The sequence below is a fragment of the Homo sapiens genome, chromosome 7 (assembly GCF_000001405.40).
Source record: "Homo sapiens chromosome 7, GRCh38.p14 Primary Assembly".
Lineage (NCBI taxonomy): Eukaryota > Metazoa > Chordata > Mammalia > Primates > Hominidae > Homo > Homo sapiens.
Genome location: NC_000007.14, coordinates 106787349 through 106811018, shown reverse-complemented (window position 1 = coordinate 106811018; position 23670 = coordinate 106787349). Strand labels below are relative to the sequence as shown.

At 42.3% G+C, this 23670-nt stretch overlaps 1 long non-coding RNA gene across 4 annotated transcripts in view; it reads right to left on the bottom strand.

The window, feature by feature from the left end:
* Positions 1 to 23670, bottom strand: part of LINC02577 (long intergenic non-protein coding RNA 2577) — a 63465-nt gene that overhangs the window by 27464 nt on the left and 12331 nt on the right. Inside the window, exon 3 of one of the 4 annotated variants that reach the window (NR_170301.1) lies at positions 15455 to 15693. The exons of the other annotated variants lie outside the window; for them this stretch is intronic. This is a non-coding gene — a long non-coding RNA (long intergenic non-protein coding RNA 2577). Of the gene's footprint in view, positions 1 to 15454; positions 15694 to 23670 lie in introns of those variants that run through there. 4 annotated transcript variants of the gene reach the window in all.

Here is a 23670-nt window from a genome sequence, read left to right as displayed (position 1 = left end):
CTTTGAAAACATTGCAGGCTCATCATTATTATAAAATGTAATTTTTAAAATATTAAAAGTTACATAATGAAAACAATTGTAGACTTGGATTCAGAAGATGTGGTAGATAGTGGTGGTGCTTGGCCCAGAAGTCCATTACCTGGCCATGGTACCCATCTTCCAGGTGCTGTAGACTCCATGAGTGTAAGCTCCTTGCCCAGAGATGCAGCTTCCATCCACCAGGGGTGGGGTGGGGTTGGAGGGCAAGAGGCAATGAATGATTGATAAAGGGATATAAAAGCCTCGCTCTCTTGTCTCAAGGCAGGAAAAATTTGTGGAGCACTCATGCTCCAGAGCTCCCCACGGCATCAGGCTAGTGATAAACTCTAGCTGACCCATATCTTAGCCCAGCCCCTTCCCCTGTCCTATTCTACTTCCCTTATGCACATACAGGTGTTCGCTCCCTCAATAAATTACTAGCATGAGAATCCTCATGTCAGGCTCTGCTTCTAGGAAACTTGACCTAAGAGGGAAGATGTAGGTGGCTGTCTCAGTTTTTCTGTATAGCCTTAGGAAAGCCACTGGATTTTTTGAGCCCTTTTCTCATAAATCAAAATGAAGAGAATAACACTCTGCCTATGGGCTTTTTGTGAAGCTTAAATGAAGTAATTATATGTAAAAGCATTTTTTTGTGGGCAAATATATTATTAATAACTAGTATTTAGAAAAATAGAATGTAGTTGTGAACAAACTTTCATAGAAATAGATTTTAGGCATCAAGTACTTGCGCTTTATGGTAACTATATTTTTACTACTGGGTATGCTATTTCATCTATAACTTACTATACTGTATATAATACTAATACTTAGTCACCAATTTGTTCCTTGCTGATTGCTTCTCAATTGTATTCATCAGTCTTATCAATATTTATGGAAATTTGTTACTTTTTTCTACATATGTTTGACAAATAGTTATTAAATTTTTATTTTTTTGAGATGGAGTTTCACTCTTGTTGTCCAGGCTGGAGTGCAATGGCACGATCTTAGCTCACTGCAACCTCCACCTCCCGGGTTCAAGTGATTCTCCTGCTTCAGCCTCCCGAGTAGCTGGGATTATAGGCACCCACCACCATGCCTGGCTAATTTTTGTATTTTTGGTAGAGATGGGGTTTTGCCATGTTGGCCAGGCTCGTCTTGAACTCCTGACCTCAGGTGATCCACCTGCCTTGGCCTCCCAAAGTGCTGGGATTATAGGCATGAGCCACCGCGCCTGGCCCTAAATTTTTTATGTTACTCAGAAGCAGAACATTATTGCAAGACTCAGATTTCAATGTTTTATTTCTGTGAAAGCCTTCTGGCAGCTCATGGCCAGGAATCTGACAAAGCTGGTACCATGGTCAGAATGTGTCCCCCTGCTCCCCTGGAATTCATGTGTTGAAATCCTAAGCCCCAAGGTGATGGCATCAGGAGATGGGGCCTTTGGGAAGCATAAGTGCCCTCATCAAAGAAATCTCAGAGAGCTGAGACTTCTACCACATGAGGACATAGGGAGAAGTTGCCATCTGTGAACCAGGAAGCAGGCCCTAACCAGACACTGAATCTGCTGGTGCCCTGATCTTGGACTTCCAGACTCCGGAACTGTGAGAAGTAAATTTCTGTTGTTTGTAAGCCACCTAGTACATGATATTTTATTGTAGTGGCCCAAGTGGAATAAGACAGCTAGGCCTCAGAACAATGAAGGCAATTATATTGCCAAAGGCCTAGGAGTAGCACGGTTGTTGGTTCATTCATGACTCGGCTCTATTTGCCACTGGTTTCCTCATCTACCTGCGCCCCTACCGCGTGCTTCGTGCCATCACAGTTATCAGCCTGAGTTCATGCCTCCTCCATGTTGCTAGGCCATGAACCCTCCCCTGGCCACTTGTCTCTCTCCTTATCCTTTAAGTGTGAGGGGCGATTCACATAAGGAGGGAAGGAAAGAATACCTGGGATATAACATCACCCTGCACTTAAACATCATCAGTGTGGAAAATACCCAGCTAGACCACTGCCTTGCTTTACCCGAGATGAGAGCTGAGCAGACTGTAAACCAAAAATACAATTCCAAGGCCTCCTGCAACCATCTGAATGGACTGCCTTCCAGCCAGGGCACTCTAACATTTAACCTGAAAGACTGGTTCAGGCCATGACAGGAAGTGGGGGTCGAACATGCTTCATTATACCCCTCCAGCATTATCATCAACACAGACCTTGAGTCTGATAAGACACACGTGCAGTCTATTCTCTCTAAAGCCTGCTACTTGGCTTTAGGAGGCTTCATTTGCATGATAAAACCTAGGTCTCCACAATCCCTTATTATAACCCAGACCTTCCTTTCTACTAATGATAACTCCTTCAACCAACTGTCACTCAGAATACCTGTGACCTGGAAGGCCCCCACCCTTTCCAGCTGGAACCAATGTAAACCTTACATGTATTGACTAATGTATTATTATGTCTCCCTAAAATGTATAGAAGCAAGCTATATCCCAACTACCTTGGGCATATGTTGTCAGGACCTCCTGAGGCTGTGTCATACGCATGTCCTTAACCTTAGCAAAATAAACTTTCTAAATTGATTGAGACTTGTCTAAGATGCTCTTGGGTTTACAAGACTAACAACAAACCCTCAACACTCACTTGTCTCAAAGCTTTTCTTTTTCACAAAGGAGATACCATCAAGAATGTGAAAGAAAAGGCTGGGCATGGTGGCTTGTGCCTGTCATCCCAGCACCTTGGGAGGCCAAGGCGAGTAGATCACTTGAGGTCAGGAGTTCAAGACCAGCTGGCCAACATGGTGAAACCCCATCTCTACTAAAAAAAAAAAAAATACAAAAACTAGCCGGGTGTGATGGCATGTGCCTGTAATCCCAGATACTTGAGGGGCTGAGGCAGGAGAATGGCTTGAACCTAGGGGATGGAGGTTGTGGTGAGCCAAGATCGACCCACTGCACTCGAGCCTGAGTGATAGAGCAAGACTCAGTCTCAAAAAAAAAGAAAAAAGAGAAAAAAAAGAATGTGAAAGAAAGGACAAGAAAGAAACAGCATCTGTGCATGAATGTGACTTCCTGACTCTATGGAAGGAAAAATTTCAACAACTTGAGTAAATATTTTCTTCCTCATTATGGGTTTCAACTGTCTGTGAAAATTAACGTTAGCCCCTGAAGAACGTGTGGAAGGACTTGGTGTAATGGGTCCCTCTTTAGATCAACAGGTGTTAACTAAATTGGAGAGTGCTCTCAGCTTTCAGGTGAGTTCTCAGCAGGAGGTTGGCTGGAGGGCTAGATGCTTGCCCTGGACAGCCCCTCCTCTCCCAATCTCTGATTGTTCAGAAGTGCACGGCGGCATCAACAGATGTGGTTGATGGTCTTACTGAAGCCCCTGATGAAAGGCCCAGGTAAGGGGACATGATCTAATGGGGGAGGGTAGATGCATTCTAGGTAGAGGATGGATCCTCCTGGGTGAGAGGCACAAATTTCCAGAAGGTGGTGGAGGTTTTCCTCCTGAAAACTAGAAGCAAGGGTCTCTTTGAGGGTGAGCTGTGGGTGTGAGGAGATTGGAGTCAGGTTACAACAGGTTGCTTCTGAGTCCAAGCAGGAACCCTGTTGTGAAGAGTTAACATCTCCAGTGCTTGTTGTCTTAGGATTCTGAAGAAAGCCAAATCTAGCACTTAGCTTAACTTTTCCTTGTTTTCTTTTAAAATTACCTTGACCCTTCGGTAAGGAAGTTGTCCCAAACAGGCTGGTGTAGGTGGATTGCGGAAGCTGGATTGTAGAGTCAAGGTAGCAAAAGGGAAGGTCAGTGATTGTGTCTGCAGAGAAGCATCAGTAACTTGTGGGCGTCTCACTTCCTGGGATTTGAGTTGAGGAGCAGTGGGGCTGTGAGTGGGACTCTTGGAAGACAGAAGAGCACCATGAGGTCCTGAGACAGAGCTCTTTGTCTGGGGAACTTCTCAAATCCTCACACTTCTGTCAAAACATTGTGTGGGGAGAGGGTGGGAGTGCAGAAAGTAGGATGGGATAAATTCAAGGAGAAAGTATAATTGATTGATAACAAGATCACTTGAACTTTAATTTATGATTAAAACCTTAAGCCTTAAGACTGTCATTCTGGTGTCATTCGGACATTAGCCAAGACTTTAGGTAAGAAAGGATGTATTCAGGAGGGAGGAACTTGATTGTGCTTCAGGAATCGTATCTCCTGGGACATTAATCACTTCACCCATGAGGCAGTCCTTTGATGGCAATAGCAGGTTTTACTACCTGAAACCAAGGAAGGCTAAGTGGGTAATTGGCCTCCATGGTTAGTAGCAGAAAAACGTGGCTGTATTTCATGTATAAATCATGTATTTCTGCCTGTCCTCCCAAAGGAGTTCCTTTTCCTTAGAGTAAGAATGCTCCAAAGAGCACGTGAATACATTTAACAGAATGAGATGCAATCAGAGGTGATTAAAAGCATCAGTGATGCTGATTACAAGTCAGGTCAACAAGGAAGTATATTTCCTTTAAATACATAAGTGTTGCTACTGTGATAGCCTTGACATCTATTTCTACCTGTTAGTGGATTTGACCCACAGTCACGCACAATAAAGCCCTATTTTTAAAACTACAGTCGCTGTAGTCAGTCATTACAAACACTCCTTTACCTACTGCTTTTGATTCACAGTAACTGTCTAGCAAAACCCTGGATAAATTCAACTCTGCCTGACACCTGTGCAGTTGATTGTGGCAGGTGAGTTAACACACCACCACCCTGATGTCAATTGAATTAATGGCCATAAACCTCAAGTGGGCCTTTAATGCCACACTTCTCTATTCACTCTTCCACTTTCCTGGGTGACTTTACTCCTCCTCCTCCTTTACCCTTCCCTCCTCTTTCTCCTTCCATTTGAATTGAGGTGTAATTTATTCTCAGTGAAATGCACAGATTGTAAGTGTGTAGTTTGGTGACTTGACAAATGCATTCATCATGTAACCCATACCCCAGCAAGATATAGGACACGACCATCACCCCGGAAAGTTCCTTTAAATCACTTCCCAGCCAATTCCTGCACCACCACCCCCAGAGGCCATCACTGATTTTTATCCTTGGTGACCATTTCACTCACACCTTTTCCTTGCCTCAAATCTCCAACTCCTCTTCCCCATCCTCACTGTCAGCTGATGATCTTGTTTCCCACTTTACTAAACAAAGGAAAGCAATAAGAAGAGAGCCTCCACATGGTCCCCACCTGCTCCCAACTTCTACAAATGACTTGGCATTTGCATCCTTCCTGTCTGTACCTGGGTGGTCTATCTAACTGTGCTCCTGTCTAAAACTACATCCTCCCATCAACTTCTGTTCGTTAAGGGTAGCACACCAGCAAGTCTTTCCTCTTTTTCTTGTATAAATTTTCACACATTCCTGGGCCTATTCTAATTAACATTTATTTCTATGCTATTTGCATCCAATCTTAAAAAAGAATAAAACATTCTTTGACCCCACTTCCTCTGCTAGCCCCATTTCTATGCCTCTTTTTGTAGCAAAACTCAAAATGTGGCTTATACTTTCTGACTTTAATTCTTCCCTATTCTCTGTTAAACTCGTATTATCTAGGCTTTCACTCCTGCCACCCCATGGAAACTACTCTTCTCGAGGTCACCAAATGACTTCTAAATTGCTAAATCCAATGGTAAAGTTCTCAGTCTCCAGCAGATATGACATAATTGGTTCCCTTGCTGCTCCTTTGATGAGACTTCTTCACTTGGTCTTCGTAACACTGTCTTGGGTTTCTTCACTGCTGAATCCTTCTCAGTCTCAGTTTCCCCCGGTGAATTCCTTGTCTTTTTCCTTAACTCCTCCTGTTGGCTTGGCTCAGCTCAGCCTTTGGTCTTCTACTTTCTCTGTCTACACTTACTCTCAGTGATCGCACCTGGCTTAGGGCTTTAAATGCCAACCATGTGATGATGTTTTCCAAATTTATGCCTCCAGTCTAGGTATCTGACCTGAAATCCACACTATATTATCCAGCTTCCCACTTGACGTCTCCACTTGAATGTCTGATAGGCAGTTTGACCTGAACATGTCGAAAAGTGAGCTCCTGATCTACCACTATAAACTTTTTCACTGACAGCTTTACCATTTGGGTTGATGGTTGCTCCATTTTTGTGGTTGCTCAGGCCAAGATTTTCAAGTCTTTCTTGATGCTTTTTTTCACTTATACCTCACATTCAATCTATCAGGAAATTCTGTTGGCTCTGAATGGCTGATAATAGATAGTATTACTTTTCCCCAAATAATCTAATTTTTCCTCCTGCTGTGCCTCTCCCTGCAGGAGTATTAAATATCCCCACTCTGTTGAAAATAGGAGTGGCCATACAACTTGCTGTAGCTGAAGAAATGTGAGCAGAATTGATAGACATCATTTCTGGTGGGTGCTTTAAGAGCTAGCATGTAGTTTCCATGTCTCCTTTCTCCCTCTGTCACAATAGCTTAAGATGTTCCAGATGGAGGCTGCTCTACCAGCCTGGACCCAGAGCCATATCAACAAGGAGCAGAGTCATAGTCAGCCCTCCCTGGACATGAAGTGTTGTAAGCTGTTGAGATTTGGGAGCCTCTTGCTACTGCAGCTTAACTACCTGTGGTGACTGAAACACACTCTTTTCAAAATGTAGCCATAATCTGATCACTTCTACTACTGCCCTGGTTGAAGACATCATCATCTTACTGGGCTCCTTGGTTCTTTCTTCATCCCCTGCTATCCATTCTCAATGCAGCAGCCTGAGTGATCCTGTTAACATTGGGTCTCATTTCTCTGTCCAAAAGTCTGTAATGGTTCCCATTTCATTTAGAGCCAGAGCCAGTCCTTACAAGATCGAGGAGTCCCACCATGATCTCATTATGTCTCTCCCCTTATGTCTCACCACTCTCCTTCTTGCAATCCCACTGGCCTCGGCCTCCTTCCTTCACTCAGCAGGTGTGTTCTCACCTTTGGGCTTTCCTCTGAGCTTTTCTCTTTGCCTAGAATGCTCTGCTCCAGATACCTCACATGTAAGTTCCTTGCCTCCTTCAAGTTTTTGCTCAAATACCACCCTTTCAGTGAGCCCTACCCTGACACTCTATTTATAATTGCACGCTTCCCCTTCTCCACCTTAGCACTCTTAATCTCCATTACCTGCTCTACCTTTATTCTCAATAGCCCTTAATCACCTTTCAGCATACTGTATCGTTTACTTTTTACATCATGTTTAGTGTTATTTATTGCCTACCTCCCCCATTTGAACGTAAGTCCCACAAGAGCGGAGATCTTTGCCGTTTTGTTCACTGATTGTACTATTTAGCTATTTCAGTGACAGGATTTAATACCCAGGTGAATTTCAGAACATATTTATTGTAGGAGTATTGAAGCTAGAAAGTGGTGGTGCTAGAAGGAAGAGATGGTTAAGCAAATCAGCAGATGGGATCAGGGCCCAACCTCACACAACTCAGGGTGCCAGGAGACAGAGGCTCTGGATGGATGATGAGCTGTAGCAGTGGTAATATCTGTGGCTCCTCTCATTGGCAGTAAGACAAAAAAGGCTTGCTCCACCCTCATAGCCTTTGGGTTTCTTGTTCTTTAGATATCCCATAGTTAGTTATATAGGGTGCTAGTTTTAGAGCCATGCTCATATGTCACATAGCATTTTTCTTGACTATCAATATGCAACTCATCACTACCTTTCTTGTCCATTCATAACCATGGATCCAGTAGAAGCTGGGTTCTCCCATGGTGGGTAAACAACACAGTTCACTGATCTTTTGGACCAAGAACCCAGAATAGTACCTGGCACATAGTAGTTGCTCAACAAATTTGTTGCCTAAATGAATTTGAGAGAACAACCAACTCCAGGAGTAAAAGAAGTATTTTCTCAAAGTAAATCCTCACTTTTCAGTCTGGCTGCATATACACTTTGACAGATAAAGCTCTGGACCGTGGTAATTATGAGTGAAACAAATGTCTGATTGAGGCTTAGCTGTGGGTTTATTTTCCAAGAAAACACTCCAGAATATTTGAGACCTTGATCAAAGGCGTAAGTGCAGTGATACTTAAGGTCTTTACATGACTAAAATGTTATAATTGTTCACACAACGCTAGTTAATTTGCAGTTAGTGGTTGAGAAGATGGGCTCTGGAGCCTGATTAGGTTCAAATCCCAACTCCACCACTTATTATAATAGCTGTGTGACCTGGGGCCAGTTACTTAACCTCTCTGTGATTCATTTTCCTCATTTGTAAAATGGCAGCAATAGCAATACCTACCTCATAGGGCTGTTGTGAGGCTAAAAAAGTCAATGAATGTAACTGTTTATAACAGTGCCCAGCATAGAGGAAGTAATATATGTCTGCTTTATTATCATTATTATGTTTATTATCCCTACATTTTCTTAATTATCTACTTGTTGTACTAAGTGGATTCTGAAAGCCAGGAAAAAGACATTGAGTTCCTTAGAATGCTGTTGCCCAAATGTCTGTTCCCTATGACTGTGCTTGGTCAAAGTTATACTATTAGTTTCATATTTGTTTAATTTTTGATAGGTTGGGGTAAGTAGCAGAACAAGTTTTGTTCTTAAAAAACAGCCTTTGGATTTTCTGTTTCCCTCAAATCCCCTTCTCAATCTGTAGTAATAGCCCAGGCTTTTCAGAAAAGAGAGATCCACTGGAAAGAAAAAGTCGTTGACACAGCCCACAGAAAGAGGGACACCTTCAGGATATGTGAAAATGTGCTTTAAAGAGGAAATGAAGACTACAGGTAAGTTTTCTTTTTAATGTTTTTTCCCCTAAAATATGCCTAATAAACATGTATATTTTAAAAATTAGAATAAAATACAATATAAGATAGAGAATTAAAAATCATGCAAAAATTCCTAGTTAAACAGCTGTGCTACAGAGGGTCATAGACAGCAGATAGAATGGGGTGGGGAGGACGACAGCAGCAAGTATAGATTTTGGAACATGATGGTGCATAGCCAGAAGATGTGTGCAGTAGGAGTGAGAGGTGGGCTTTCCTACATACTTCAAATCATCTAGAAGAGGGAAAGAAAAATCAGAAGGTCAGAAAGTCTCTCAGCTGACCAATAAACAACACTTGAACACCTACTGTATGCAAATTACTGTGCTAGATACAGTGAGGAGTATAGCCATGAGTAGCACAGGGTCCCTATCCTATTGTCAGAGACGTGTGAACCAGAGCAACTCCGTCTTGAATAGGAGCTGGGTAAAATGAGGCTGAAGCCTTCTGGGCTGTGTTCCCAGACTCTTAAGGCATTCTAAGTCACAGAATGAGATAAAAGGTCGGCACAAGATACAGGTCATAAAGACCTTGCTGATAAAACAGATTGCAGTCAAGAAGCCGGCCAAAACCCACCAAAACCAAGATGACGACAAGAGTGACCTCGGTTGTCTTCACTGCTACACGTCTACCAGCACCATGACAGTTTACAAATGCGATGGCAATGTCAGGAAGTTACCCTATATGGTCTAAAAAGAGAAGGCATGAATAATCCACCCCTTGTTTAGCATATCATCAAGAAATAACCATAAAAATGGGCAACCAGCAGCCTTCGGGGGTGCTCTGTCTATGGAGTAGCCATTCTTTTATTCCTAATAAACTTGCTTTCCCTTTACTCGATGGACTTGCCCTGAATTCTTTCTTGAGTGAGATCCAAGAGACCTCACGTGGGGTCTGGATCAGGACCCCTTTCCGGTAACATCTTTCTGGCGACCACAGAGGGACTGTAGTGAGGAAACCCCTGGTAAGTGTTGGGGTCCTGTAACATCTTTCTGGTGACCACAGAAGGGACTATAGTGCAGAAACCCTAACCCAACGGCTACCTCTGGGTAAGTGGTGTGGTCTTGTAATATCTTTCTGACAAACCCTGAAGGGATAACACCTAGGAGACCCCCACCCCAACCCAAAGGAAACAGACTGCAGCACTGATTGGATGACTTTGGGTAAGTTGCGGGGTACCCAGGTAAAGAATGGGATTGGGTTAGAGGCCCAACTTAGGGGAGTTAGAGTCTCTTCTAAGAGAGGGTTAAAGGCTCCTCTCAATAAAAGGCAAGGACACTTGACCAACCTTGGTTTAAAGGTCGGACTTAGGAGAATTAGAGTCCCTTCTAAGATTTAGGGAGTTAGAGACCCCTTTCAGTAAAGTCCCTCTTGGTAAAGTCCCTCTCGGCTAAGAATGGGTTTGGCACTATGGGATGTTAACTGCTATTCTTTGGATTAATCTGCTTTGTACTCTTTGCTGATGGCTGTGGGTGACAAGGTTAAGCATGTACAGGATCGTGAAACATGGGGAGATTTTTCCTCCCTAAAAGGGGAAACTTGAGAGCTGATGGCACTGCTGGAACAGATTCCTTTGCGACCAACAAGTGGCCACTTGAACTTTTGATTCAGTGTTGCTGCAATGGGCACGTCTTTCTCTGGCCTCCCTGAGCAGCTTGCCTTCCCCACCCTGCCACAGGCAATCCTTTTCTCTCTCTCCTTTCCATTTCTTATCTTTTCTATTACTCAGGGTGACCATCTTGCCCAGAGACCACATGTTGAAACTCCTGGTTGGAAGTTGGATTAACGATGATGGGGGCAAGTTTGAGGCTTGCCAGTTTGATATTGGGTGCCTAGCAGAGTGGCTAATGTCTACATTTTGTCACATATATTTTACTCTGGCCAGAATGGAAGGAGATAATTTGTCCTTTGTGTTGCATCTTGGCCCCCAGGGCTGTGGTGCAGCCAGCTGGATCACTAGGGCCACTCAGGGAAAGGGAACCCAGAAGACTGGCATGCTGGCAAGAGGGTAAGAATTTCTTACCAGTCAGACTTCTGGCCTCTGTGTGTGTGTGTGTGTGTGTGTGTGTTTGTGTGTAAAGTGGATGAGGTTTCCCTGTGGTCAGTCATGTCCTTGGAAGCTTGACCTTGTAAGCATGTGGCAGTACTTTCTCTTGGTCTCTGCCATCACAACGGTGGCCCGGGTTCAGGATTCAATTCCTGTCTTAGAAGATGAGTTCTTTGTCTTCTTCTGTCTATTTATATGTGTCGTGTGATGTCTGTATATGAAAGAGCTTTAACTGATTGGCTTAAAAATAAGAGCTTCAGTTAAATATTTGGTCAGAAAAGTAAAAAAGTGTAATGCATTTTAGTTCGTGTGACTTTAGTAATGTTTGGGAAATAAAGATAGTTTTAAAGATTATTGGTAAAAAAGACATTTGGTCTAAATTATGCAGGTCAGATGTTAAGTTTGTTAAATACTTAATGGTCATAATCTGCTTCTTTGACTTTGAAAAATTGTTCAGTTTATTTTGGAGCATTAGATTCTAAGTAAGTCCTAGGACACGTGAAGTTAAATGCTGGAAAGAGTCAGACCTTATCTACATTTCTGTCTGGGTCCTAGCCTTCACATCCAGTAGATAATCAAAATCACTTACTAACCAGGGTTTTCACCAAAAGTAAAAGTCACTAAGAGTTAACAGAGTAACATGTGTCTTAGACTACTAAAAAAAAGTTCTACATGCAAGGCATGTAAGGAAAGTAGAATGTGTTTTTGGTAAAAGATTATAAGAACACATGGGAATGTGTATTTTTCTTGCCCAGATTAAAGGATTAAAGGATTGTTTTAAGTTAGATAAAGCTGAAGGTTTAAGCAAGTTGTGAAATGTTTATGAAAAATTAATTATAAAAGAAATTCTGTGTGTAAACTTACTGGCTAAAGTAAAAGGGGTATTATACAGTTTTTCTGTAAATCAAGCATTGGAATTAAAGCACAACAGGTTTTTCTTAAGAGCAAAAAACCTGCCTATAATCTGCTCTTTAACAAAAATTTGTAAAGGGTTATAAAAGGTTTATGAAAATCTTACCTTATAGTGAAACATTAAAATTGGGTAGATACGGCTATAAGGTTTTATTAAGAATTGAGTTTAACGTTAATAGTATACTAATGTAAAGGTGAAATTGGGCTTCTTGGTATATTAAAATCATACAGAAAGCATTATCAAATGTAAAATAGCATTTGGCTTTCTTTGGGCTGTATTTGTATAAATATGCTATTGGTATGTGTTCCAAAATTATTTTAAAAACTCCCGGCTGGGTGTGGTGGCTCATGCCTGTAATCCCAGCATTTTGGGAGGCTGAGGCAGGAGGATCACGAGGTCAGGAGATTGAGACCATGGTGAAACCCCATCTCTACTAAAAATACAAAAATAAGCCGGGCGTGGTGGCGGGTGCCTGTAGTCCCAGCTACTCGGGAGGCTGAGGCAGGAGAGTGGCGTGAACCCAGGAGACGGAGCTTGCAGTGAGCTGAGATTGCACCACTGCACTCCAGCCTGGGCGACAGAGTGAGACTCCATCTCAAAAAAAAAAAACCCTCCTGTAATTGTAATATGGCTTAGTGTAGGTTATTAATAATTACAATTGCTAAATAAAATCATTGTGTGACACAAAGGTAACCAACATTTCCTAGTCAATTGTGGCTTAAATAGTGGCTGTCCTAGGACTTTTTGTCATCCGCAGACAATTGTCTTGTTTTAATCTTCTTTAGAAGGTGGTTTATAATCAACCATAGAACTCTGACAGGTGCTCTTGAATGCACGTTTCTAATAACTTTGGTGATTGTGACATTAGAATAGAGGAAAAAAACTTTCAGGATTTTCATGGAGAGCTGAAATGTTTATGAATATCAAGCAAAACAGGAGTTAACTAAATTAACTGAACCAATAAAAACTGAAGTAATCTTTTTAACTTTTTTCTTAAAATGTTGCCGATCCTTCATTTTGTTTTTCAGAGTCAAGAAATACTTTTCTTTTAAGCTATTTACAGTGTTTAACAATTGAGTAAAGTATATTCCTATGAACAAAATTTGGAGCATATTTGTTTCTGGTTACCTGATTTCTCCAGAATTTGGAAACTATTTCTGAGTATTCTTAATTTATGACAATAAGTTATTTACATAAATGCAATAAGAATCTGTTTTCTTTTGCAACAGAACACAACTGGAGAAATTGGTTATTTTACCAAGGCTTTGACTGGAATGGTGTGCTTTCCTTTAAGGAATCAAACTTGACTTGTAAAGTCAATAAAAGCCCCTTAGGGAAAAGCCTCACACCTTGCCTGCAACAGTCCCTGTATAAGGTTTCAGACCTGTGGTAAGTAAAGAATGTCACTTTCTAACAGGCCTAGAAGCACCAAGTTATCTTGGGACCCCAAGAGGAAGGGAATTTACTCAACTCATAGGTATTTGAGGGTGCAAAGCCATGGCAGGGCTCAGCTTTAAAACAAGTCTTATCTAAGATTCCTTCTATGGAACACAGTCCCATCAAAGCCAATTTAAAAAGAGCTTATGTGAAAAATAGTTACTCTTGCTGTACTTTATACAAATAATCAGGCCAACTATAATAAAGCAAATCAGTCTTACCATGATATGTCTTTTATAAAAATGGGAAACTAGAGACAGAAATATTATGTTTCAAGAAATATGGTACACTTATTAGATTCTAGTCTTATCAGTTGTTTTTAAGTTTGTTTCTATAATTTAGGCTAACCCTGTGAACCACCAGTGATCTCTGACTGCTGCTCAGAAGAAACAAGAGGAATGGGTATCGTAAAAATCTGAATCAATATTCTAATTCTGGGTGTGTACTGAAATCATCTAGCAACTCCATATCAGCTTGGTTCCAACAGCTGCCCAGTTCATGGAAAACCCTCTAATTTAGTTTACTCGGAATAATTTTACTTATTTTGCTTTACTGTTGTGAAATATATTGCTGTTGCATGTAAAAATGCAGAACAAGCTTACTAAATGTTTTCTTAAACTGAACACTTATTAATCTTCCAGATATCACCTTTTGTCAGAACTTGGAGTTATGAATGGCCCATATACCAATGCTTTCTGACTGAGCTCCTCTCTACCCAGAATACAAGAGACCCTAATAGTTAGGCAGGAATATTGTCACCCCTGTTCAGCCTGAAGAACTTACAGAAGGTGGATCTTCATTCCTCAGCAACCCTTAGGACTAAGGGTGCTCTTATAAAAGGGAGGGGGGAAATGTCAGGCATGTGAACTGGAGCAACTCCATCTTGAATAGAAGCTGGGTAAAATGAGGCTGAAACCTATGGGACTGCATTCCCAGACTGTTAAAGCATTCTAAGTCACAGAATGAGATAAAAGGTCAGCACAAGATACCGGTCATAAAGACTTTGCTGATAAAACAGGTTGCAGTAAAGAAGCTGGCCAAAACCCACGAAAACCAAGATGGCGACAAGAGTGACCTCTGGTCGTCCTCACTGCTACACTCCCTCCAGTGCCGTGACAGTTTACAAATGCCATGGCAATATCAGGAAGTTACTTTATATGGCTTAAAAAGGGGAGGTATGAGTAATCCATTCTTTGTTTAGCATATCAAGAAATAACCATAAAAATGGGCAACCAGCAGCTCTCGGGGCTGCTTTGTCTATGGAGTAGCCATTCTTTTATTTCTTTACTTTCTTTTTTTTTGAGACAAAGTCTTGCTCTGTTGCCCAGGCTGGAGTGCAGTGGCACAATCTCGGCTCACTGCAACCTCTGCCTCCTGGGTTCAAGTGATTCTCCTGCCTCAGCCTCTGGAGTAGCTGGAACTACAGGCACATGCCACCACACCCGGCTAATTTTTTGTATTTTTAGCAGAGATGGGGTTTCACTGTGTTAGCCAAGATGGTCTCAGTCTCCTGACCTTGTGATCTGCCCGCCTCAGCCTCCCAAGGTGCTGGGATTACAGACGTGAGCCACCATTCCTGGCTTCTCTACTTTCTTAATATACTTGCTTTCACTTTACTCTACAAGCTCATCCTGAATTCTTTCTTGCCTGAGATCCAAGAACCCTCACTTGGGGTCTGGATGGGGATGCCTTTCCTGTAACATCTTTTTGGTGACCACAGAAGGGACTATAGTGAGGAAACCCCCAGTAGGTGTTGGAGTCCTGTAACATCTTTCTGTTCACCGCAGAAGGGACTATAGTGTGGAAACCCCCTTCCCAAAGGCTACCTTTGGGTAAGTGTTGGGGTCCTGTAACACTATTGCATGCACTTCAGAGGAGGAAACAGACTCTACAGCAAGTGTATCATCCCTTCTTTTGGAGAGAAGAAATGTTTTACAGTCATAATGCCAGTACTTCTCTAAGTATCCTTTTTCAAACCAAGTTCACCAGGAGGGCCAAGACTGATAATGAAAATCCAGACTCCCAGCCCTCTCCATTCCTGCTGACTCAGAATGGCTAGAGCCCACAGCCATAAGATCTGCCTTTAATCAAACACTTCAGGAGATTCTTACGCACAATTTAAAATGCTGGAACCCCTGTTGCTAAGTGATAGGTATCAAATGAAGAAAAACTGCAGTACTTTTGACCGGAGTGGTGATGCGGATGGAGAGTTTCATGGAAGAGAGTTTGAACGGAGGCTTCAGCTGGTTTTATTAACTGTGGCAAAGAGGAGGTGGCATTCCAGGAGCAAGGAATGATGGTCAAAGGCAATGAAGTGCACAGGGCATCAATGGCTCTAGCATAGAGAAGAGAGAACTGCCCCAAAGTCTCTCACAGACGTGCACTCCAGGCCAACCAGATGATGTCTCTTGCCTTCTCCAGGGCCATTCTGCAGCCTCTCAGGCCTCCCTTCCATGTGCAAGCAGGGTGACACTGGAGAGGAATTGAACCATGGAAAGTTAGTTTTGCTCTGTGCTCACTTGTCACTGAGTGAGCTAAGCTGGCCGGCTTTTTGCCTTCTGTCAAGTCAGCTGCTCTCTGAATTCAAGCAGAAGTATGAGAAACTGGTTACCACTCAGGCTTGAATTTTGCTGTTCTCACTTCTTGAGAGAGCCACAAGCTGACTCTATTTCCAAATGGCAAACAGCCCTCTCAAGGCTACCCTCACCTTAGAGCAGGACCGCACAGCACAGAAAGGCCAGCGCTTAGCACACCAGGCATATGGAGCAGCTCAGGTGCCTCCGGGTGAGAAAGCGGCACACAGCAGGAGGAGATCAGATGTTACTAAGCAGCACGAGGTCTGGGCCAACTGTTGCATCCTTCCTTACTTGGCCACCTGGAAGCTGTCAATCAACTGAACAACAAGCATCTAATGGCTGACAGTACTTGGAGCCAGTGCAATCAGCCTCAACCCCTTTGTTTATTTCCACTTGATGTTATTTGATGAAATGTCTCTTTGGATGAGAGCCTGGTATTCATTTCCCCAGGAAGTCTGGGGTCTGGGCTCACCACTCCACAACCCCCAGCCCTGCCCCACCCTCCAACTCTATCAAAGACTACCACTGCCTCCCTTCTGGCCTTCTCCCAGCATGGTGTAGCAGAGATCATGATTAACTGGAACAAAGTAAGACACAGGCATGGCATAATGAACGTGGTGATGCCAGATGCCCCTCCTAGGAAGGACTTGTTCTAGCTCTGGGAGTGCTGTCAGCAGACAGTTGTCAGGTACCAACCCTTCAGGTCCACCTCAGTTGCAGAGAGCTGCCTTCCCCAAGGCCATTCCCTCCTGTGAGGCCCATATCCAGTGACTGATGGAGACAGGTGTAGAAAAGCCTGGCTCTTTGGCCCAGTGCTGGCCAATCCTTCCACCCTCCCCTTCTCTCCATAGGTACTAATCCTAAGGGCACTTCCTAGCAAACACCTACAACCTGAGTTCCCAGAGAACCCACCTTGCTAAACATGAGTTTGAATTTCATCTTAATGGCTCCTGAGGCCTGTGGCTTTGGGGAGACAATCACTTATTTTTTGTAAGGCTTAATGTCTTCATCCAATAAATGGGAATAATAGTAACTTCATAGGATTATTGTGTATGCGGAGTAATCCCTCATAAATATTAGATATCATAATCTTGGGCAAGTTTATGGCTTCTGGGAGCCTTGGATCCTTTATGCAAAAATGAGAACAATACTACTTACATCTCAGGATTTTGGTTAGACTTGTATGACATAATGTATGTCTTGTTACATGCGCAATAGATAAGAGCCCCCGCCCCCCACCATTTTCCCTTTAAAATACCCACGGAACCTTTATATAGTGAATTAAAAAAATAAGTTGTGTTTATTTTCTTTTTCTGTATTGCTTGCCCTTCATCAGTGTATAGGACATTTGTATTTGGAGGAGAAAAACTGAATGCAGAACAGAAAGGCAGGAGCTAGGGTGGAACCCTGGATTTGTGGCTCTGTTCTCTTTCGTCACAGCTCAATGGCCAGCTCCTCCGGGAAGCTCACCCTGACTAACTCAGTGCATTCTGCAAATTATTCATGCAACCATTGATGACCATCTCTTTTTCCTTGATTCACTTTTTTAGTTCTTATAATAATATATTTTCATGAATTACAGGATTTCTATGTTCTTATTGTAAGCCTCTGAGAAGCAGAGACGGTGTCTGTTTTTTAAGAGAGTATGCCTGGTGGAATACTACCATTTTCCCTGGGAGTGTTCATTTGTTACTGTGCTAGTTACCAGCAACGAACTCTTCCAACAGTGCTGAGTCCTCCTGCAGCCCCGAGATGCTCCAGGAATTCCCGCTGAATTGACAAGAAATCTGAGAGCCAGATGGGGCCTTCTGAGGCCCCCCAGTCCAACTCTGATCATCTTACCTTTCTGGAAACTTATTTTTGGTCATCTCCTTCCCTCATTTAAAGGCTCATGTGAAAATTTTTGCAAACCCATCTTTATTGTATCTTCTGTATTTTATAATTTGATAACTCTCAATTTTTAAAAAAGCTTGGTCAGTTCTAGGAACATTGTCTTACACTGACACCTGCTGGGCAGGTGGAAAAATAACAGGTACCTGTAACACTAGTGTCTTTTAGGACTAGAAGCAGAGAAACTCCATTCATCTTTCTTTAATAAGCATCTTTCTTACAACTATCCTAATTTTAAGCTTTCCTTTCCCTCTTCTCCCACTAAACCTAAAGTCTGGATTTTATATTTCTTGATGACTCTATTGCTAAAAGCCTATAGCACCATTAAACAACATCATTTCATAGATAACACTTAATGCTTAATGATGAACAATAATCCCGCTCATTACCTGTGACCTTGGTTCTGCAAGCACTATACCTCCAAACAACTGAGCTGTCGAGTGGGCCCCATGAAAAGTAGGTGGCCATTTTTAACCCTGGATTCACCCAGTTGGCCGGAACTGTGAGGCCATCTGATCTGGATCAGAGTGTCTCGGTGATGGAAGGAAGAGTCATTCAGTGTGAATGTCAGAGTTCTTATTTTGAAAGTTTTTCCAGGGATCACGACCCCAGTAAAAATTTATTTAAGTGTTTCATCATCCTAATGAGACTTTGTTATAAACCATGTCTCTCTCTCTCTGCTTTTATTTAAACACTTTTTTTTTCTGTCCAAACAAATTCCAGCTCTAATAGTCCTTTTATTCCAGGAAAGGATGGACAAACAAGTAAATAAAGTATATGATTTGTCAAATGATCATAAATGCTAAGTTTTACAAAAGGGCAGGAAGGAAGATAAGGATTGCGTGTGTGTGTTTGGGGAGGTGGTTGCTTACTGCTTATAGAGCCGTGTGGGGGATAAGGGCTGACCCAGGAGCCTTGGGTTTCTTGTGGTGACATAAACAAGGTTAGAAAGTATGCCGAGGCTGAGGCAGGAGGATCACTTGAGCCCAGGAGGTGGAGGTTGCAGTGAGCCAAGATCGTGCTATTACATTCCAGCCTGGGTGACAGAGACTCTGTTTCAAAACCAAAAAAAAAGTATGCTGAGGTTTAGAAAAGACTAATCAATATCCTATTTATTATAAAAACTTTATGATATTTTAATTTATTATCATAAAAACTTTACCAGATATACCAGTAGGCTATATTCTAATTATCCCCCTTACCAATCCCTTTCACTGTACTTTTTTGGGGTTTATTTAATAACTTAATCATTAAAAGTACTTTCTAGTTGGGTCCATACTTTTTTCCTGCAAGTGTTGATTTAGAGAGGAAGACAGGACCCAGGGTCTGAGCCTGTGGCATTTGTTAGCACTGCATGGGAACTAATTGATCCTCGGGGTCATCTGGAACTTGGAGAAGGAGGCACTGAAGAATTCAGTCGGGGTCACAGAGGAAGGGGCCTGATGCCTGGGATGGATGGGCCAGGCAGACTCAGTGAGAGGAAGGGAGGTGGATTTTGGATCTGGGTAAACTTCAGGTTTGAAAAGTGGCTCTCCTCCTTACTAACTGTGGATCTTGGGCAGTTACTTATCTCCTCTTTGCCTCAGTTTCTTCATCTGTATATGGGGATAACAATTCCATCTTGAATAGTGCTTGTTGACACGGTGCTTGGCACATAGTAGGTGTGAAGTTATTTCTATTCCCTGTTTCAGAAGGAACGCTATTTTGCTTATGTCTGGCCCTGTGTCTGCTCTGAACACCCCACTGCTAATTGTTCTTTCACTTGATCCATGCCGGTTCTGAAAATCTTTAGAATTCAAGCCTTCCCTTTTTCAAGTGTTCTGGCTGCCACAAATGATGGCTCTTCTCTTAAACTTCTCCGACATCCTTTCATCCTGGCATTTTCAGACTTCAAAAAACGGTCTTAGAGATTTATTGATTTAACAAATGTTTATTAAGCTCTTACAAAGTGCTAACACTGAAGATAGAAGAGTGAACAAAACAAACTAAAATTCCTGCTCTCAAAGACCTTTTATTCTGGGAGAGGATGGAAAAACAAGTAAATAGAGCTTATGAATTATCAAATAATCATAAATGCTAAGTAAAAAAAAAAAAAAAACAAAATGCAGTGCAGGAGGGGTAATTAGGATCGTGTGTGTGTGTTTGAGGAGGTGGTTGTTTGCTCTCATAGAGCCGTGTGGGGTCTGAGGGCTGACCTGGGAGTCCTGGGCTTCTTGTGTTGACATAAACAAGGTTAGGGAGCATGCTGAGGTTGATCTTGGTGGTCTCAAGGAGGATAGTGGTGTGGAGTGTGAAGGCTGGGGATTGGTAGGTTGGGCTCCAGTCAGGAGCATACAGAGTCCCCTCTTCATTCCTGCCAAAGGTGTCCTGGAGGAGAACATGGGGAGGGGCCTCCTGATTACACCTGGACCACAGAGAGTTGGTGGGCTCCCCTCTCATTTGCTTCCTTCAGTTCCTGATGACAAGACAGGCTGTGGGGACTTGGTAAATGTTGACTTCTTAAGACTCAGGCCCTGACAAGTGCATTGTCCTGCCCGGCTCTTGGCACATTGCATACCCTTCTGAGTCTCTATTTCTCCCTCATCTCTAGGAGGAGGAGGAGGCTGGCCTCTTATATCGATTTCTGCTAAAAACAAATTCTGTGATGTTAAGAAGTTTCAATTGTATCTCCATTGTTGGAGTTTTGAACAGAAAATAGAGAATTTTAGGGTCTAGATAGAATTTTTGGTTTATTTTTTCTTTCCAGTTGGCTTTGGAAGAAAAGGATGCAGGAAAGGAAGACTTGGCTTCTGTTGCTGGTTTAGAGGAGTGAGATTAGGTTTCCTGGATAATAGCCAAACCTACCAGAATAGGGGGATTGGATCTTTCAAAGACTGGGAAGAATTTGTTTGGCAGGAGATTTGCTGACTTGATCAAGAGGGATTTTCCACTCAAATTTTCTGGGAAAGGGAGAAGAAAATCCTGGTAAAATCAACTTAAATGCTCCCTTTGTGGATATTCATGACCCTCAGGGCTGAATTAGTTGCTCCTGTCAGTTTCCACAGAAAGGTGGGAAGAAAGATGGAGCCAAGGGATAGGATAAAGGCCAGTGATCTCCTGCAGGAGCAGCAGTGCGTGTATGATGAACATTTAATAAGTGTGCAATGAATTAACAAATAAAGAATGAAAGACAATAAGACAAACTGTATTAGGTCTCGCTATAAGGGAATACACGACACTGGGTAATTTATAAAGAAAAGCGATTTAACTGGCTCCGAGTTCTGCAGGCTGTACAGGAAGCATGACGCCAGTATCTGCTTGGCTTCTGTGGAAGCCTCAGGGAGCTTTTACTCATGGCCAAAGGCAAAGTGGGAGGAGGCATGTCACATGGCAAAGCAGGAAGAAGAGAGGTGCTACATACTTAACAACATTTTCAGTTATTTATTTATTATTTTTGAGATGGGGTCTCACTGTTGCCCAGACTGCAGTGCAGTGGCTTGATCATGGCTCACTGCAGCCTTGACAACCCCCTCCTCCTCCCCGCCCTGGGCTCAGGTGATCCCCCAACCTTAGCTTGCCAGGTAGCTGGGACTACAGGCATGCACCACCATGGCAGGCTAATTTTTTATATAGCTGGGGTTTGCCGTGTTGCCCAGGCTGGTCTCAAACTCCTGGGCTCAAATGATCCAACTGCCTCAGCCTCCCAAAGTGCTGGGATTGCTTGTGCGAGCCACTGTGCCCGACCTGGGTGCTACGCACTTTTAAACTACTACTCACTATTGCAGGGGCAGCACTAAGCCATGAGGGATCCACCCTGATGATCCAGTCTCCTGCCACCAGGTCCCACCTCCAACATGGGCAATTACAATGCAACATCAGATTTGGTGGGGATACAGATCCAAATTGTATCACAAACCAACAGGTAAGAAGAAATGGGGAGGTACAGGAAAACTGGCCTTAGCTTTGTGTTAATCCCAGACAAATTTCAAGAATGGACTATTAAATGTGGTTTATGATTACTTAGAAAATGGTTTTTTCATGATTTATTTTGAAAAAAATTATAGACCCATAGGAAGTTATAAAAAATGTATAGGTCACGAGGTCAGGAGTTCTAGAACAGCCTGGCTAACATGGTGAAACCCTGCCTCTACTAAAAATACAAAAATTAGCTGGGTGCCTGTAATCCCAGCTACTTGGGAGGCTGAGGCAGGAGAATTGCTTGAACCTGGGAGACAGAGTTCGCGGTGAACCGAGATCGTGCCACTGCACTACAGCCTGGGCAAAAGAGCAAGACTCTGTCTCAAAAAAAAAATGTATATCTATATATACACACATATATATATGTGTATATATATATGTATATATGTGTGTGTGTGTGTGTGTGTGTGTATATATATATATATTTATATATATATATATGTTCACTCTGTTTCCCCCAGTGATAACATCCTGCCTAACTATAGCACAACACCAAAACCAGGAAATTGGCATTAGGCCAATCCACAGAGCTTATTCACATTTCACCTGTTTGATGTGTTCTTGCATGTGTGTGTATGTATAGTTCTGTGCAGCTTTTGTAATGTATAGGTTCATGTAACCACCACTATAATCAAAATATAGAACTGTTCCATCACTAAGGCTGTGTCGCTATCCTACATCCACTCCTACCCTGATGAACAATCAGTAATCTGTTCTCCATCTTTAGAATTTTTCATTTCAAGAATGTTATATAAATGAAATCATATAGTATATAACTTTTTAATATTGGCTCTTTTAGGCTAGGTGTGGTGGCTTATTCCTATAATCCTAGCACTTTGGGAGGCTGAGGTGGGAGGATCACCTGAGCCCAGGAGTTTGAGGCTGATCACGTCACTGCACTCCAGCCTGGGCACCAGAGCAAGACCCTTTCTCCAGAAAAAAAAAATAAAATAAAAACAGTTTGGCTCTTTTCACTCAGCATAATTCCCTTAAGAGCTATCTAAGTTGCTGCATTTATCAATAGTTTGTTCCTTTTTACTGCTGAAAAGTATTCCAGTGTATGGTGTATGGATAGACTACAGCGTGTTTAACCATTCACCTGCCGAAGAATATTTCGGTTGCTTTTGTTTATTACGAATAAAGACATCATGAACATTCATATACAGGTCTTTGGTGAACGTAAGTTTTCAAAGCTTTGAGATAAGTACTCGAGAGTGCAATTATTGGATTATATGGTACTTGTATATTTAGTTTTAGAACAATTTGGCAAATTAAAAAAGAGTGCCTCTGACTGCTAGCAAGAGGTGGGACTCCCTTGGATTGGGGTCTGTCTGATCATTACTCTGCCAAGGAACCAGCTATGGGACAATGGACAATTCGCCCAGCCTCTCTGTGCCTGCATTTTCTTTTCTGCCACTTAACAAAAATAGTGCCTTCCCCACAAACCCCACAGGCCGTTATGAATAATACATTTATGTAAAAGTTCTTTAAGCAAAACATAAACATATGACATTAGTATTTCATTGAGGACCAAATATACCCTTAAAAACTAGCATAATTAATTTCTCTGTCCGACTCCCTCACCTTACAAAATTCCTTAGATTTTCCCGTTCCCCTCTCCACCTTTTTGAGCTGCGTCTCAAAATGCAGTGTGGCTGGCTCCAACAGAGGTGCTCTTTTGTCTTGGGAGCTGCTTTTCTAGTCTAGATCATTAAGCTTTCTCTCCTCTCCTAAATCTGCACTCTAGGAAACTGATGTTGTTTATTCACCCTGTGCTCTTGTAACTTCTTAGGTGTCTTTACGTCTGAAAAATACATGAGCCCCAGACCAAGGACTACTGTCCAAACTACTATTTAGCTGAACCCACCCAAAAATACAAGCTTTAATTTGTCTTAAAGAATAGATAAATATTAGTTTAAGCTCCATAATGAAATATAAGTGTAGATTCACTTTACTCACAGTTCCACTGAAAATTGTGTGTGTACATATGTGTGAAATAGGTTGAAAGGGGGCTATTTTTTAATTA